At 41.2% G+C, this 18,242-nt stretch overlaps 1 protein-coding gene across 6 annotated transcripts in view, besides 5 other annotated features; it reads right to left on the reverse strand.

Moving 5' to 3' along the window:
* The window catches only part of ILDR1 (immunoglobulin like domain containing receptor 1), a 74,333-nt gene that overhangs the window by 25,984 nt on the left and 30,107 nt on the right, over positions 1-18,242 (reverse strand). For 5 of the 6 annotated variants that reach the window (NM_001199800.2, XM_047448043.1, NM_175924.4 and 2 more), the window contains exon 1: positions 8,714-8,941. The exons of the other annotated variant lie outside the window; for it this stretch is intronic. In NM_001199800.2, coding sequence (NP_001186729.1) covers positions 8,714-8,771 — 58 coding nt within the window. In that variant the 5' untranslated portion in view covers positions 8,772-8,941. Of the gene's footprint in view, positions 1-8,713; positions 8,942-18,242 lie in introns of those variants that run through there. 6 annotated transcript variants of the gene reach the window in all.
* Positions 1,448-1,497: an enhancer, noted in NCBI's record as "active region_20354". NCBI's record gives its function as "activates an Ori minimal core promoter by ATAC-STARR-seq in GM12878 lymphoblastoid cells {active_cell/tissue: GM12878}" and the evidence as "EXISTENCE:reporter gene assay evidence [ECO:0000049][PMID:35858748]".
* Positions 8,936-9,095: a silencer, noted in NCBI's record as "silent region_14638". NCBI's record gives its function as "represses an Ori minimal core promoter by ATAC-STARR-seq in GM12878 lymphoblastoid cells {active_cell/tissue: GM12878}" and the evidence as "EXISTENCE:reporter gene assay evidence [ECO:0000049][PMID:35858748]".
* Positions 16,995-17,064: an enhancer, noted in NCBI's record as "active region_20355". NCBI's record gives its function as "activates an Ori minimal core promoter by ATAC-STARR-seq in GM12878 lymphoblastoid cells {active_cell/tissue: GM12878}" and the evidence as "EXISTENCE:reporter gene assay evidence [ECO:0000049][PMID:35858748]".
* Positions 17,305-17,424: an enhancer, noted in NCBI's record as "active region_20356". NCBI's record gives its function as "activates an Ori minimal core promoter by ATAC-STARR-seq in GM12878 lymphoblastoid cells {active_cell/tissue: GM12878}" and the evidence as "EXISTENCE:reporter gene assay evidence [ECO:0000049][PMID:35858748]".
* Positions 17,895-18,114: an enhancer, noted in NCBI's record as "active region_20357". NCBI's record gives its function as "activates an Ori minimal core promoter by ATAC-STARR-seq in GM12878 lymphoblastoid cells {active_cell/tissue: GM12878}" and the evidence as "EXISTENCE:reporter gene assay evidence [ECO:0000049][PMID:35858748]".

Raw genomic sequence — 18,242 nt, forward strand, 5'->3', positions numbered from 1 at the left:
GAACTATTTTGAAGGACTAGATGGCACTTCCCCTCCTTTCCTATGAACAGGCCTGCTTGGAAGGGATGGTAGGCAGGAGGGTGAAGGCAGGTCTTTGCCGGCAAGGGGCAGTGGCCTGGGACTGACAGGAATTGATTCCTGAGTGTTTTTCAGGTATACAAGCACCCTGACTCCATGTGGCAGGTTAACAAAATGCACACAGGTTCAATGCTATCAGAGTTTATGGCTGAGCAGGCTATCTCACCAAGCATATTTACCATCAGTGCCTGTTACATTTCCTCAGATAACAGTGCAAATATGAGCGGAATCAAGGAGAAGAGGGACTAGCTATGAACAAGAAGGAGCAAGACAAGAAGTGACTAGCTATGGACAAGAAGAGACAAAGACAAGAGGGAGTGGTCACGAACAAGAAGGAAAGGATAGGGAGAGCAGAGAGAGGAGACCAGGAAAGCAGATGGGTGGGGAGCGGAATGATGTCTAGGTACTGTGTGTTTACCCAAGGTCTGGCATGCAACACTTAACAGTGCAGCACCCCGAGAAGGAAAGTGCTATGTGCTGAGCACTTACTATGTTGTTTGACACGGTATTGGGTGTTTTATTATACATTATCTCATTTAACCTTTGCAAGAAACTGATGAGATAAGCTTTACTTTCTCTCAATTTCATTGATGAGGAAAATTCTGAGAGATTAAGTAATCTGCTTAAGGCCACACAGCTAGAAAGTAGCAAAGCTGGATTTAAGCTTAGACCTCCACTACACTACCATGTCTTCTGGATAAGTTTTCTAAATGGTTGAGATTTAACCCTTTGAGGAATATTCACGCACTTAAGGGACATTCACAAATTTATTTTAATCATTTTGTACAGAAGCTCTTCTTCCTTTTTGTTTGTTAATACAAAATAAATAAGTGAGAAACTTCAAACAGTGGAGGGGGTATCAAGTAAAAAGTTCCTCCTTGCTCACCATGAATTCCACTTTCCAGAGGTACTGCTGTTGACAATTTGGTCTACATCCCTTCACATCTTTTCCTATGTTGTTTTTTTTAAATTAATCATATTATGTACATTGATTTGTGACTTTTTCTTCAAACTAATGATATATTGTATATCAGTATATGCAGATCTATTTTTTTTTAGTAACTGCATGAACATTTCACTCCATCAATGAGCCACTTTTATTTACACATTTTCCAAATTATGGACATTTAGGTTGTTTCTGACTTTTAAGTATTATAAGCAATGCTGGCATTAATTACTGAAATGAATATGATTATATAAGTACGTCTTCACATGCGTTCTTTTATTCCAGTAGAATATATATCTCAAAGTGAGTTAAAGGGAATAAACCTTTTCTATTCGAATAGATACTTCAGGAAAGAAATGTATATTCCCATAAATAGCCAGTGACAGTCCCATGTTTCACCACAACCTATTCAAAAGAGGAAAATATCAATCTTTAAATTTTTTTTTGATAAACTACTAAGTGAAATAAATAGCCACTCAGGTGGTTTGAACTTAACATCCTTTTGGTTACCGGGGGAGAGGCCAAGACCTGGTTGAGGGGCAGATGCTTGGGGTTTCCCAAAGTCATTCACCCAGGTTAGTGACTCATGTCTCCACACACTAATCTCAGAGCACATGCAAATTTAGGCATGACCAGAACACACACATTCATTCATTTATTGAGTACACACTCTGAGCCAGTCATTAGTAGAAAATAAGAGATACAGGTCCCTGCACTCTTGGAACTTGTGCTCCTGGTAGGAGAGTCAATGATAAACAAGTAAACACACAGACAAAGTAGTTCCTGTCATGGATGAGTTTTAAAGCATTGATCAGAAACTACGAGAGCATTGAATATTAAATCTTACTCCTGTACAATAAGGGACTAAAACAGACACATGTATCCAAATGCTCCTGATAGTTCTTCTTGGTTGTTTCAAGTTCTAAATCAAGCCCAAAATCTAAATCATCATCCTTCCATACAAACTTGGGCCTCTCCCACATTTCCCATCTCAGTGAATGGAAAAGACCAAAAACTAGGAAGGAATCATCCTGGTATCTTTTTTTCCTTTGCTCTTCATATACAGTCTGACATGGTTTGGCTGTGTCCCCACCCAAATCTCATCTTGAATTGTAGTTCCCATAATCCATATGTGTTGTTGGAGGGACCAGGTGGAGATAATTGAATCTTGGGGTGGTTTCCCCATTCTATTTTCATGATAGTGAGTTCTCACAAGATCCAGTGGTTTTATAAGGAGCTTCCCCCTTCACTGGGCAATCATTTCTCCTGCCACCATGTGAAGAAGGACATGTTTGCTTCCCCTTCTGCCATGATTATAAGTTTCCTGAGGCCTCCCCAGCCCTGCAGAACTGTAAGTGAATTAAACCTCTTTCCTTTATAAATTATGCAATCTCAGGCAGTTCTTTATAGCAGCATGAGAACGGACTAATACACAGTCTACAATCAGATTGGGCTTATTTATCGCCGAAATATTTCCAGAATCTCTCTCTCTCTCCAATTTCACTACTATCCTAGCACAAGCTACTATTATGTCCAGCCTCCATATCACCTGTGCTTACCTAGTACTGTACTCATGCATGCTCTGGTTCCCCCTGCTAGGTGGATTCCACATTGCTGTTAGTCTCCCAATTCCTCCTCCTTAAAAACCTCTAACAGCTGTCCATTTCTGTTAAGATAAACACAAAACTTCCTACCATGACCCATGCAGCCATGCACATCTGGTCCTACCCACTTCTCTGGCCTCAACTCCACCACTCTTCCTGTGGCTTCCTTCACTCAGTCCCGCTAACATTCTTCTCATCTCTCATACACACTAAGCTCCTATCCAGCAGTCTTGCAGATGCTATTACTTTGGTTTGAATTCATCGTTCCTCAGTACTCATGCATCATCCCTTCAGGGAGGGTCTTCTGACTGAGCAAAATCCATCTACTAAGTGCTCTTGTGGTACCTTGTATCCTTCTTTCCTGGCCTTGTCACAGTTGTATTTCTACATTCACTTGAATTCCCTTTAGACAATAAGCACCACGGGGGCCAGGGCCATGATGGCTTTTGTTTGCCAGCACGAGGTCTTGCACCAAGTGCACATTAAACATTTGCTAAACAAAAGAACAGATACATTCATGCAAGATAGACTAAATTGCTTGGAACAAATTTTAAGTGCCCTAAAAGTTCAAAAAAATGGTTAACATTAACCATGTCTAGTACAGCCAGACAAAAAGCAAGAAAGAAGGGTGTGTGTTGAGGAGAAAGGTTATACAATAAGACCATGCCTGTATCTGGGGGGACAAGGCTTCCCAAAGTAGTGAGCCCAGAATTAGTTGGCCTTGAATTTCAAACAAAGAGCTTTAGCCCAGTCTCATAAGCTATAGGGATCTAATGGAGCTTCTTTGGATGGAAGATTAAAATGAAAGTGGGAATGATTAACTCAGGTAGGTTTAACCTATCATCTGCATAGAGAATGGTTGGAAGTAGACAGAAGTAGCAGGACTAGAGGCAAGAAGATGCTTAAAGTAGGCTAGTATAAGAATTGTCACCCAAAATAGAAAAGAAGGGGCAGATCCTGGGACTAAGTAACAGAACTCAGTGATTACCTGGTTATGAGAAATAAAGAAAGTGTCAAAATTGCTTTCCTCTGATCCCTCCTTATCTCAAGAGTTGCAGATTGGGAGATCTAGAAAGAACTGGGGACATGGCCAGAGTCTTCTCAATTCTTTATTTTATTTTATTTATTTATTTTTGAGAAGGGGTCTCTTTTGCCCAGGCTGGAGTGAAATGGCGCGATCTCGGCTCACTGCAACCTCCGCCCCACCGGGTTCAATTGATTCTCCTGCCTCAGCCTCCCGAGTAGCTTGGATTACAGGCATCTGCCACCACGCTGGGCTAATTTTTGTATTTTTTGTAGAGAAGGGGTTTCGCCATGTTGGCCAGGCTGGTCTTGAACTCCTGACTTCAAATGATCCACCTGCCTTGGCCTCCCAAAGTGTTAGGATTACAGGCGTGAGCCACCGTGCCCGGCCAGAGTCTTCTCAATTCTTAAAACACACAATTTTATTTTCCACCAAGGACTTCAGATAATGAAATAAATTATTATGGTAAAAGAAACCCAGGTAGACTGTACACTAATCACCCAACGGCTTGTTTCACTGCATTGTTGTTGGGGCAAGATGTTTAAACATTAGCATTTAGTTAGACATCCAGGAAGCAGACACCTGTTTCTATTTCTGTATACTAGAATTCAATTAAACAAGACAAACTATCATCAGAGTGAACAGGCAGCCTACAGAATGGGAGAAAATTTTGCAATCTATCCATCTGACAAAGGGCTAATATCCAGAATCTACAAAGAACTTAAACAAATTTACAAGAAAAAAGCAAACAACCCCATCAAAAAATGGGCAAAGGATATGAACAGACACTTCTCCAAAGAAGACATTTATGCAGCCAACAGACATATGAAAAAATACTCATCATCACTGGTCACTAGAGAAAAGCAAATCAAATCCACAATGAGATACCATCTCATGCCAGTTAGAATGGTGATCATTAAAAGTCAGGAAACAACAGATGCGGGAGAGGTTGTGGAAAAATAGGAACGCTTTTACACTGTTGGTGGGAGTGTAAATTAGTTCAACCATTGTGGAAGACAGTATGGTGATTCCTCAAGGATCTAGAACTAGAAATACCATTTGACCCAGCCATCCCACTACTGGGCATATATCCAAAGGATTATAAATCATTCTACGATAGAGACACATGCACACATATGTCTATTGCAGCACTATTCACAAGAGCAAAGACTTGGAACCAACCCAAATGTCCATCAATGATAGACTGGATTAAGAAAATGTGGCACATATACACCATGGAATACTATGCATCCATAAAAAGGATGAGTTCATGTCCTTTGCAGGGACATTGATGAAGCTGGGAACCATCATTCTCAGCAAACTATCACAAGGACAAAAAACCAAATACCGCATGTTCTCACTCATAAGTGGGAGTTGAATAATGAGAACACATGGACACAGGGAGGGGAACATCACACACCAGGGCCTGTTGGGGTGGGGGGGGGGTAGGGGAGGGATAACATTAGGAGAAATACCTAATGTAGGTGATGGGTTGATGGGTGCAGCAAACCACTATGGCACGTGTATACCTATGTAACAAAAGTGCACGTTCTGCACATGTAACCCAGTATAATTAAAACAAACAAACAAACAAACAAAAAACCTGCTCCACAGTATGAAATAGGAGAGAGAGCAATGGAGAAAGGGTGAAGACACCAGGGTTCTGGTCCCAGTTCTCAAACTAACTCCACTCTGTCAACCTGAGACACATGACTTGGGTCCAGATTTCCTTATCTGTAAAACTGGCTGGGAGGGGAAGATAAAGGCTGGGAGTGATTTCTACCTGTGTTCAACAGAGCTCTGGGATTCTGGGGAGGTATTCAGGAGCTCCCAAGGAGACAAGGGAGCAGCTGAGTGGACAGTCTCCCATCCATCACCCATACCCCCTCACCCTGAGATATATCAGGGAACTTTGTAAGATTTCATTAAGTCTACGGTATGGTCCATACGTCCACCCCCACCACCCAGGAAAAATTACTGTTCTAGATGCTGTCTCTCTAAGGATATTCTTACTTAGGGGTCGGTTGTCTGATTTCCCAAAGAATGATAATACAAGTTGATAGCTGTGTGGATCTGCAAGTTAACACCACACTGTGATGTTAAAAAAAATTCACTAAAGCAGAAATGACACACATCCTTTTAGAGTTTGGGGGATCGGCAGGGACACTAAACTTTCATTCTGAGAATAAACTTTGACATTGGATGAAGGCAACTAGAGCTATTAGCCAACAATGGTACTTACTTTAGCCTTATTTTAATGTTTTAAGGAGCAGATATTCACATATCACTTGTGATATTGTTAATGTGGGGATGATTTTTTAAATGAATTTTAATATCAGTAAGATAATATGTAATATCCATTGTTATTATTTTATTCAACTTAGTAATAAAATTTTTGTGATCATTTTGCTTCCATTTTATAAACTGTATATGTGTGCATACATGTCACAATGTACTTGGATCTTTCTGGGAGCTGTGAAAAAAAATCAGAAACCACTGCTTTGATAGATATTGAGAGCAAGAGAGGAAGCTTGATCTTCAGTTTGATCTTGACAGACACTTTGGGAAGTTTGGCTTAAAAATTAAGGAAAAGGTGGGGGAGTAGAGAAGGACTTATGCCCAGTATTTCCTGAGTGAAGACCACACACACCTACTTCTGACAAGTGATCTCTACACAGCTCAGAGCACAAGGACTGTGATAATATCACAAGACTCCCTGGCCTCAGAAGCTTCATTAGGGGCCCCAAGCCACAGTGACCAGCAAATACCTAAATATGACACAATTTTACTACTGCCTCACACTTTGCAATTGTGGGAACTTGGAGGCTAATCAGAGAATTGGGTTGACTCTTCTTCAGAGACAGGAGAGAACAAGGTGATGGACCAAAATGAACACACTCTAGTACAGGGTTTTCCAAAGTGCATATCACAGTTGCAGCGTGTCATTGACACTGTGCTTGACCTTAATCCACCCAACAATAGTTGGCCTTATTGAGAGGGCACAGGGAGTTGGCTTGTCAGGAATTTCACCTGTTTTCCAGGCAAAGGCAGTTTAAGTAATCCATCCAAAGTCACAACTAGTAAGAAGGAGATTCAGAATTCCAACCTGATAATCACCTGTTACTATAGCTCACATTTCTTAGCCATAGGGGAAGGAGGAATAGAGAAACTTGTTTCCTTAAAGTTAGCTTTAAACAATCCTACCTGGCTCTAATTCCTGACTACTATTATCACCCTAGCTAATATTGATTAAGCTTTCCCTCACTTTGTTCAGGCACTCTATTAAGCACTTTAAAACCTTAATTTCACTTAATCCTCACAAAAGCTGTATGAGATATGTACTATAATAATTGCTATTTACTGGAAGCTTTGAATAGTTTCGTAACTTGCCCAGTGTCACATAAACATCATTGACACAAACCACATTAAATAGCTGAATGTAGTTTATTTACATTTCTACACATAGGAAAACTATCTGCTAAAATAGCTATTTCCCCTCCAAGTGTTGGAGTCAAACAGTTGAAATATCAATTTCTCATCTATAAAGTGAACGTGAGTTTAGAGGTTTGCTTAGGATTACAAAGTCTTAATTCTGGGGATAGAATACCCAGGGGCAGTGGTGGGAGCAGAACTCTATTTTTTCTAAAAAGGTAGCTCAAGCAGCTTCAGAAATCCCCAGCTGCTGTGGAGTTTGAGATGAGCAGGGGAGCCACAGGAGAGAAGACTGTGCAAAGCTGTGGGATTTTTATAAATTTGCATTCATAGCCTAAGATGGTGTTTGGTGAAATTTTGGACACAAATTGAGGTGAGGTTTAGTTATTTCCCTGTGCATCGTGGGTGTCCAACATCTAGTCTTGTCAACTTCAGACAGTTTCTAGGGTCTATATCCTGTAGAAAATCTTGTAAGCCAGAGGGCCTTGGGGGATATCAATTTTCTAGTTTCCCTACCCTTTTGCAAGCCTCTCTCCCTTTTATTCTCAGCATTACGCTTAAGTTATGGTAGAATCCTGTCTGAATAAGATTTGATTATACCTGAGAAATTCGTTATGTCTTATGGAGCTTGTAGAAAGAACATTCTGCCAACACACCTTCATATTGCATCTGTTCCCAACCTAAAAATACAAGACTCAAATTGGTCTGTGAGCAAACTCTAAGTTGACCTTCCACTGACAACTTAGAGGTAAGAGGGCAGCTATTCTGAAAGGGAGGGGAGGGGTAAAATGAAATAAAACAGGGTGGAGCTTCCAAGGGAACTTATAAATTCTTCTTTGCAAGGTCACACCTACATCCTAATTGGAAAAGAGCTGAAAGAGCCTGCCCATTCTGTCCCTCAGCTACCCTTTCCTACCTGGTTTCACTCGTGGAGATACACACTTCTGTCAGATTTCCAGGACACACACAGAGATACACAAAATCATGTTTTCCAAAACAGAGAGGAGATTGGTGTGGAGGGTAAGAGAATGAAGCCTGAGAGGGTAGATGGTTGGACACCTGATGCAGGATGAGCAAGGGGTAAAGTTAGGGCAGTGACTGGATACAGAGAAAGTAGAAAAGTGACATTGAACATGGTTAGCCCAGAAGTACATGTTGTGGTCCTGCACAGTAGATTCAGATTCTGGCCAAACATTGCTTTACATACTGAGGACACATTATAACCTCCCAGAAATGAAATATATGCACTTCTGGGCCAATATGGTTGTCACCATATCAGATGAAAGGAAAAAGTAATTAGGAATTTTAAAGAACGGTGCTTTTGCCCCTATCAGTTCAGCTTCAGAGATCAAGAACTGCCTAATGACTGCAGGAACGAAAGTTCAAAGGCTCCAGGTTTCTCAGTTGCACCTGTTTGGGAAGGGCCTGGACTAACAAAAGAGAAAAGCAACAGGTTCCCACAGGCAGAAACTCGATCCAGTCCCCGCACCTCCTGGCGCCCATGCCAAGCGCCACCAGAGCGCGGCCCAGGCCTCCACTGCCCTGCCCGCGGCCAGCTCTGCAAGGCCACGCCACAATGGCTTCCTGTCTCCTTGGGTCCAGGGTGGGTACCATTTTTCCAAGGCTCACCTGCTGGGAGCCAGGTGCAGAGCAGCAGCCAAGGTGCGGGCAGTTTGGGCCATGCCATGCCGCCCCCTTTCTGGCCCTTTTCAGCTCAGGGGCTTCGGGGCACTGCGTCTTTCTTCCTCAGCTGCCGCCCCAGGACGCACCACCTTCTCCAAGGAACCCCTCGGGTTTCCCCTCCCTCGGCGCAGCGGGGAGGGAGCGTCCGCTCTGGTCCCGGGGCAGGTGCCGCCCGGCTCGTCCCCACCTGCGGCGCTCCCCACGGCTCCGCCTCCCGCCCCGCGCGCCGCCGTTTCCTGCTCCGCCCCCGCCTCCCGGGGGACTGCGGCCACCTTCCCTACCTGCTGCCGCCTCCTGCTCGCTGAAACACCGTCCCCCACCCCGCTGACGGAGAAGATTCCCACTTTCCTCCAGAAGTTCTCGGGAAATCTCATCCCCTGCAAATGTATCCCCCTCTCCTTCTAGAATTATGTGGATATAACTTTCTAGGGTGTGTTTCCTGCGTTATATTTCCATTCCCTTATAAATACTTGCAAAACATTGTTTTACTAAAAACACAGTAATATGAAGTTTACACGTAATGTCTGTTCAGATTTTCTAGGAAATAAAGATTCGTATCTAGGCCAGGCGCAGTGGCTCACGCCTGTAATCCCAGCACTTTGGGAGGCCGAGGCGGGTGGATCATCCGAGGTCAGGAGTTCGAGACCAGCCTGGCCTACATGGCGAAACCCTGTCTAATAAAAATACAAAACAGCCGTGCGTGGTGGCACGCCCCTGAAATCTCAGCTACTCGGGACGCTGAGGCCCGAGAGTTACTTGAACCTGGGAGGCGGAGGTTGAAGTGAGCGGAGATGGCGCCACTGCACTCCAGCCTGGGCGACAGAGCGAAACTCGGTCTCGAAAATAAATAAATAAATAAATAAATAAATAAATAAATAAATAAATATTTGTTTCTAGAAGGTAGAGATAAACTAGAGAAGTTGACTCAAGTTTCTACAACTATAAAAGTAAAATATTATAGAAAAATAAAAAGTTATGGGAGTTTAAAAAAATCCTGCTGCAGCTTTCCATAGCTAGGCACTGTTCAAGTAGGTATATTTATTTATTTATTCTATTATTTATTCTAATATTCTAATGTTTATTTATTTTTTCTTATAAAAATATTATAAGTAGGTACATATTTATTTTATTTTTTCTTATCCTTCATTGTCACTGAGAAGCCACTCACAGACCTCAACCCCCACCAAGGTTTTGACCTTGCCAGATCAAGGTTTTGACCTTTTGCTTTGCAAAGACTTTAGGTCTCTTTGCACCAGGCCACGTAGCATGTAATCTCAGTCTCTCCTTCCACGGCAGGAAGCCCACCAGCCATCACATTTTTCTTCAAGAAAAATAAATGAATAAAAATTCATTAAATTCATTAAACACAGTTTCAGGAAGCTCCCATTCTGGTCACTAACCTTAGAAGTCGATATTTTTTCTCCTGAGCGCATGTCATGCCCTGCTCTGCTGTGAGGGGGCCCCTTACCCTGCGTTGCTGATATCTTTCATTTCGCCTCTACCCAGAGGAGCATCCTTGTCCTAGATCTGATGCGGGATCTTAACCCAGTCTCTTCTCCCTGTCTTTCCTTCTTCCGGTTCCCTCCTGGATCTGACTTCTCTTTTCCCCAGTGGGCCTCTTCTCTTCCAGAGAGTAAATTCAGGAAGTAAGTGGCCAAAGATAGATGGTAAAATGTTTAGGAGCCTCATAGGTCTTCCGTGGAGGGATCCTAGCACAGCAGCAGCAGCAGCAGCAGCAGCAGGAGGAAGCTGCAGTGTGAGGGTTGAGGGTCAGGTCCCTCAACCCCCTCTAAAGACCCTGTACATGCTCCCAGCAACACTGTGTATGTTTGGATGTCTGTGATCCTGAGGGATTTGCATAGTTTCCGGGTTTGTGAATAGTCTTCGGCAAGTGCTCAATTCCAGTCTAAAAAGACATGTGAGCCCTGTCTTTCCCATACCTCCCCCCCATACCCCTCAGCCCCCGCTTTGGTATAAAGGCCATTTTAATATTCATCTAAGCCAGCATTTCTCCCATGTTTGTTCCGTTGAACAGTAGTTCCCCGGAATGTTAATACACAGTATATGAAAAAAGGGCTCTATTATTAAGTCAATTCAAGAAATGCTGGATTAAACTAAATGAAACAATTTTTCAGGACATATTAAACCTTAGAGTGTTAATGTACATTTGAATATAGAAAGAAATATGGCACTCAGCATTCCCCCAAAGTCATTCAGCCACAAAACCCTTTTTTCTCACATATGGTTTAGGGCAGATGCTCCACAGAACTTATTTTGGGAAATACTGGTGCTGTAAACCAAACATAATAGGGAAGATAAGTTGGAGACTTCTATGTAAACAAATGAAAAATAGCTTTAATAAAGTTTATCTCAAGTGCATTAGAATTAGAATTTCCTTATTTTTCCCTTGGGAATTACTTATCCAGTTGAACATCTACCTTCATGGCTTCTCTTGAAGTGAACACTTAGATGACTTATTTTCACCTGCTTCTCTGTCTACTGTGTGCATCTTTTTTCTTCATGATTTATTATGTACTATGTACCAAGCAATGTTCTTAGTGCTTCACATGCTTTATTTAATTAAAGTCTTACAATAACTGCATGAAATAAGGGCTATTATTATCAATCCCATTTTATAGATGTGGAAACCGAGGTACAAAGAGATAACTTGCTCAATGTTACGATGCTGGTAAATGGCAGAATAATGAGCCTAGGTGAGGTGATCTGACTCCAGAGTTTGTGCTCTTAGCTGAAACACTATAGACCCTCACATAGCTATTAATATATTTCCATCTGTCTGTGTTTACAGCTAGCTGGCTCTGTCAATGTGTGCTAATACAATTTCTTTCCACATATGTTATTCAGCTCTACATAAGGGAAAACTGAATCCCACAGCTCTGGGCTCTCTTGGGCCAGTCATTCTTCCCACATGTGCCATTCGTCCAATAAAGATTAGATAAGAGCATGTACGTGGCTCAGAACAACAGCAGTTCTTTCATTGCTAGATATAAAGTAAAAATCACTTGACCTGCTGATAGTGACTTCCTCCTATACAAAGTTATGATAATAGCTACCATGTATTAAACACATTGTCTTAGGCACTATTCTAGGCACTTTTAAAAAAATGCTAGCTAAATGTGCTAGTGAGAATGGGGGAAAGACAACAAGGAGTTCCATCTGTAGCTGACTGGGAATAACCAATTGAGATAACTCACTACGCTCAAACTAGCTTCCAAGCACTTTCATTATTGAAGTAAATACAAATTCAATAATTTGTACTGAACAGCACTATGACTCAGGGATCATCATTGTCCCCATTTTACAGATGAGGTGCAAAGGTTCATTAACTTACCCAAGCCTACCCAGCTTGTAAGTAGCAGAGCTGAGATGCAAATTTAGGCAATCTATTTTCAGAACACAATACCCTTCACCACCCTAGCTGTACAATGCTTCTGTGTGTTGACTGAGCTAGGATCTGACCACAAAGTACTAAGCTGTTATCTCATCATTTATAATCATACTTCCTAGTTGAAACTGTGTCTATGAATGTTTCTGAACACTGTGTGTTTTCTGAATACTATATATGTGCATCTGTGTTAGAATAATGTAATATTTGTACATTTATATGTGTACAGTATTTATCAAGAATGGAGAAGATTTTGTAGACATACAGGGAAAAGAATGAAGAATCAGGTAAGTAAAAATCATGCACCAGCTACTTAAAGCTAAAGGGAGGTAAGAAGTGTAAGTAGCTGATTGACACTAGAAGATTCAGACTATGTCTTATGCATTTTGTATTCCCAGCATCTAGCATAGTATCTGAAATATAGATATACTCAATAAATATTTGTTGCACTCTTTATCAATAATTCCTGGAGGAAGGGACATCTGCTCTAGGTTTGAAAATGAATATGACTTTGCCAGAGCAATCCAAGCAGAGAGACCAGCCTATACAAAAATCACAGCACCAATAAACAGCATAGCTGAACAATAAGCACTTAAGTTTTGCTAGGCTGGTGTGTTAGAGAGCTAGCCAGAATAAATAAAGAGTCTGTATGACCAGCTGGAGAACTAAGACTTCATGCAGGAGACAATGGAGAGCCAATGAAGAATTTTGAATCCGGAGAGGCATAATGAGAATTGCATTTTCGAAAGATAAACTTGGCAGCAGTGAGAAGAATGGTGTTTGGGAACTTAGATGAAAGACAGGGAGACTAGTTAGGAAACTGTTACTATAGTTAAGGTGGGAGAACTGAGGGCCCAAGTCAATAACTGGTGTTGGAAATGGAGCAGAGAGAATATTTTGACAGTTATGTAGAATGTGGAACTGACATAATTGATGATCAATTAGTGTGGGGGTTGAGACAAGGATATAGGTTTCTGACTATTGACCCTAGATAGATAGTGATTCCTTTAATGAACATAAACATATAGAAAGAATAAAATGTTTTCAAGCACCTCAGACACATTGCGCTAGAGAGTACTGGACCACCAAAATAAAACTCCTAAGGATGGTTGGACACCTTTATTAAGCACAACTGGCTGAATGAGGTTTGTAGGAGCTGCATGCCTGTACAGGGAAGTCTGGGTCGGCAGGGACTGAGAGACTTACTTCTTGGCTAGTGGCCTAGAACAAAACAATCTGGAGTAAGGATAAAAGCAGGAGGTGGTGGAAGCTAATGAAAGGGGTCTGGGAACAAGTATGTTTATTATTACAACTCCTATTTAACATTATACTGGATATTCTAGCCAACACAATTATAAAATAGAATTAAAAGGCTGAAAATGAAGAGTAAAAATATTATTGATAATATTACGTTATCTACACAGAATATAAAGAGAATCTATACATTATATATAAGGACTAACAAGAGAGGTTGCTGGAAACAAGATCAATATATTAATGTCACTGACATTTGAATATACCAGCAACATATATTTGGAAGATATGACTTTAAAATACACAATAAATCTATTAAGTAACTAGAAATAAGTCCAACAAAATATGTGGAATAGCTTAATGAAGAAAATTGTAAACCGTTACTGAAAACATTTTTTTCTTTTTTTGTTACTGTTTTAAGTTAGTATCAAGCCAGCATTCTCAATGAAAACATTTTTTTTGTTTTATTTTTTGAGACGGAGTTTCACTCTTGTCATCCAGGCTGGACTGCAGTGGCGCAGTCTCAGCTCACTGCAAACTCCACCTCCCAAGTTCAAGAGACTCTCCTGCCTCAGCCTCCTGAGTAGTTGGGATTACCTGCGCCCACCACTACGTCCAGCTAATTTTTGTGTTTTTAGTAGATATGGGGTTTCACCATGTTGGCCAGGCTTGTCTTGAACTCCTGACCTCAGGTGGTCCACCCGCCTTGGACCCCCAAAGTGCTGGGATTACAGGAGTGAGCCACTGCGCCTGGCCTGAAACTTTTTTTTTAAAGACCTAAATAAATGCAAAGATATATTGTGTTCTTGGATAAGAACCCTCAGTATCATTAAGGATGACAATTCTTCCCAAATTAACAAATTCTACGTATTTCTAATAAGAATCTGAAATTTTTTCAGAATTTTACAAACCGTTTCTAAAATTAACTGGAAATTATAAGGTAGTAAATAGACAAGACAATTTAGAAGAAGAAGAAAGAGATAATTTGCATTATCCATCTGGCTGTTCCTGAGTTGTATGCTTTATAATAAACTAGTAATCTAGGAAGTAAACTGTTTACCTGAGTTCTGTTAGCAATTCTAGAAAATTATTGAACCTGACAAGGGGGTTGTGAGTACCTCCAATTTATAGCCAGACGGTCAGAGACATAGGTGATAACCTTGACTCGCAATTAGCATCTGAAATTGGAAGGGACAGTCTCATGGGGCTGAACCCTTAATCTTTGGGATCTGATGCTATCTCCAGGTAATTGTATTAGAATTGAGTAAAATTGTAGGATGTTCACTTGATGTCCACCAAGAAGTGGAAAACTGGCCGGGCGCGGTGGCTCACGCCTGTAATCCCATCACTTTGGGAGGCCAAGGCGGGCAGATCACTAGGTCAGGAGATCGAGAGCATCCTGGCTAACATGGTGAAACCCTGTCTCTACTAAAAATACGGAAAAAAAAAAAAATTAGCTGGGCGTGGTGGCGGGCGCCTGTAGTCCCAGCTACTCAGGAGGCTGAGGCAGGAGAATGGCGTGAACCCGGGAGGTGGAGCTTGCAGTGAGCCGCGATCGCACCACTGCACTCCAGCCTGGGCAACAGAGCGAGACTCCATCTCAAAAAAAAAAAAAAAAAAAAAGGAGGAAAACTGCTTGGTATGGAAAAAATACCCTCATATCTTGTGTCAGAAGTGAAGTATTGTGTGAAAGGAAAAACAGTTTGTTATTCTCATTCAACTATATTAAATTAAAAAGTTCTATAACCAAAAGACTACATAAAATTTTTTTAAAAGTCACAAACTAGGAAAAGATATTTGCTGTGCATGAAAAAGGCAAAAAAGTTATAATTGGAAATATATAAAGAACTCCTTAAAAATCAGTAGAAGACAACCCTCTGCTAAGGCAGATAAACATGTAATTCACATAAGAAGCAATCTGATTCACTATTAAACATTAGAAGACACTCAACTTGTACCGGTAATCAGGACAATGGAAACCAAAACAACAAATGGTATTTCATATCCATCAAATTGGTTAAAATGTGAAAGTCTGAGCTAGCTAAGTATTGGCAAACATGTGAGAAGTGTAAATTGAGTCAACCACTTTGTTGAACAATTTGACAATATCTTGTAGAATTAAAGGTGTATATATCCTAGGACCCTGTAATTTCCCTTCAAGGTCTTTACTCTATAGAAACTCATTCTTGGACACAGGTACCTGTGCAAGGATGTTCATTGCAAAGCGATTTGTGCAAAACTTGGGAACAACTTTACAATGGAGGAATAATAGACAAACAGAGTGGTGTTTATTCACGAGTGAGATAATATGCAGCTGTTAAAGTGGATTAACTAGATTTACAACATGGGTGAATATTAAAAATATAATGTTGTGTGAATAAAGAAGCTGTAAAAGACTAAAGCATTATGCTAATTAAGACACAAAACAATATCGTATAGTATTATGGAAGATACATATGTATGTAGAACAAAGTATAAAAATATACAGGGGGGCCGGGTGTGGTGGCTCATGCCTGTAATCCCAGCACTTTGGGAGGCAGAGGTGGGTGGATCACTTGAGGTCAGGAGTTCATGAACGGCCTGGCCAACATGGTGAAACCCCGTTTCTACTAAAAATACAAAAATTAGCCAGGCGTGGTGGTGCACACCTGTAATCCCAACTACTCAGGAGGCTGAGGCAGGAAAATCGCTTTAACCAAGGTAGCGGAGTTTGCAGTGAGCCGAGATCCAGCCACTGCACTCCAGCCTGGGCAACAGGTGACACTCCGTCTAAAAAAAATATATATATATATATATATATTTAGGGGAATGGGACTCACCAGTCTTAAATGTTGTTACTCCTGAGGAGGGAGAGAGGAGAGAGATGGATTAGCGGGTGCTTTAGCTGAATCCTTAACATTTTATTTTTTTACAAACATATGAAACACACTAGACATGCAAAATCATTTAAATTTAGGTGATATAAGATAGATGGTGCCTATTATTTTATGTAGTTTTATGTATCTTTGGCATATTTTATCATTATAAATATTTTAAAGACAAAAACTAGTGACCTTTTACTATAGAATTAAACCAAGTATGTTTGTGCCTTGACATTTCCCCTGACATACTGGGTAACCTTACATAAATCACTTTTGTTCAAGTGTGTTTTTAATCTACAAAATGGAAACTGGATGTAATAATCTCTTTGGTTCTTTTCACTTCTGGCATTCTACACTTCAAAGGGGAGGGGAGAAGAATCCAGGTTAGGAAGATGTCAGGCTCCCTTAGCTGGAAAAAGGAATGGAGAACTAAAGTATCTTTAAGGGTGACCTCTCTCAGAGAAAAGTCTTGCTAGGATCCACCCATTCTAAGTAGAAGTGTAGACTCCATGGTCTGCCAAAAGCCACTTATAAAACCAAGGAACTTTAATTGCACTTGCCATGCACAGCCTAAGAATCTAATTCTTTCAACATTTTATTATAAGGGGAGAAACCAAGGACAAATGGGGGCTGCATTCCTAGGACTAGAGCCGCAGAGAAGAGGTTCAAGTCCTCAAGTCATAGCAACAAAGGTAGAGTGTCTGAAGTTTGCCACCACCTCCTTTGACAACATGAAGCAGGGGGAGGGGAGGGAGAGAGAGAAAATTATTAATCAGTATGGAAACAGACACAATACCACTCAGCCACATGCTTCTCCCCTTCCCTGTCATTGCCACTTGCCACTGTCCCCACATTCCCCCATCTCTTTGCCACCTCTTCTTGACCAAAATGCAAGAGGCTGTGATTGGTGGATGTGAATTCCTTCTGCTGAATCATGCCACCACTCTGCAGCCAACTATGGATGGTTTTAATGGTTTCCCTTTCATTATCTCTGTGAGCTCAGTCCCAGAACAAAGAGGCAAGGGTTTTTCTCTCTCTCTCTCTCTCTCTCTCTCTCTAAGTGTTTCTTACTCTTCTGGCAAGGCTCAGTTTGATGTTCAGAGTCAGAACTACTCTGAAATTATGAGGTCAGTCCACATACATCTCGGTTAAGCTCAATGAGGATCAAAATATCCTATTCTTTCCAGCTCACTCCAGAAAGTCTGTTTCAATTAGTATTTGGGGAGGCCCAGGAAGCAGTAGCTTATTAAAGTTCCCAGGTGGTTCTAATCTGCAGCCAGAGCTGAGAAGCTAGTTAAAGCATGAGTTGAATGAGAGAATGTCTTGCATCTTGGTGACAAAATAGGGCATTCCCCAGGGCAGCCCCTAAATGGAACACTTTCTAACATGTTTTCTATCTCAGCTTCTCTTTGCTAACTTTCTCTTTTTCGTCGCCTAGAGTGACAGACTAGGAGAGTATCTACTCCAAAGCTCATGGCCCTGAGATGTGTAACATTTCCCCTTTCTTCCTTCTCCACCAGAACAGCATAACATGTGATATTACATTCAGATGGGAATGAATCTCCGGACATTGCCACAAGTAGCTGCATAACTCTAAATAAGTAACAGTCTCTCTAAATATTAGTTTCTTTATTTGTAGCACCAGGGAGTTAACTAGATCAGTAGTTTTCACACTGTGTTCTGAGAATTTCTGACATCCTGTGGAGTACCTAAGGGGTTGTCTCTGCCAGGGAGGTCAGTTTGAAAAATCACTGGACCAAATGATCCAGAAGTTCTTTTCAGAACCAACATTCTACAACTCAGACTTTGTGGGAATAGACTGATGCTTACCACCAAAGTCTACCACAACTATATGCTTTGAGGCCTGCCACAGATTACATTTATCAACTGCTAGAGACTGAATATTTCTGTGCCCCCAAATTCATATGTTGAAACCTAGTCCCCAAGGTGATGG

Source organism: Homo sapiens, chromosome 3 (genome assembly GCF_000001405.40).
Source record: "Homo sapiens chromosome 3, GRCh38.p14 Primary Assembly".
NCBI lineage: Eukaryota > Metazoa > Chordata > Mammalia > Primates > Hominidae > Homo > Homo sapiens.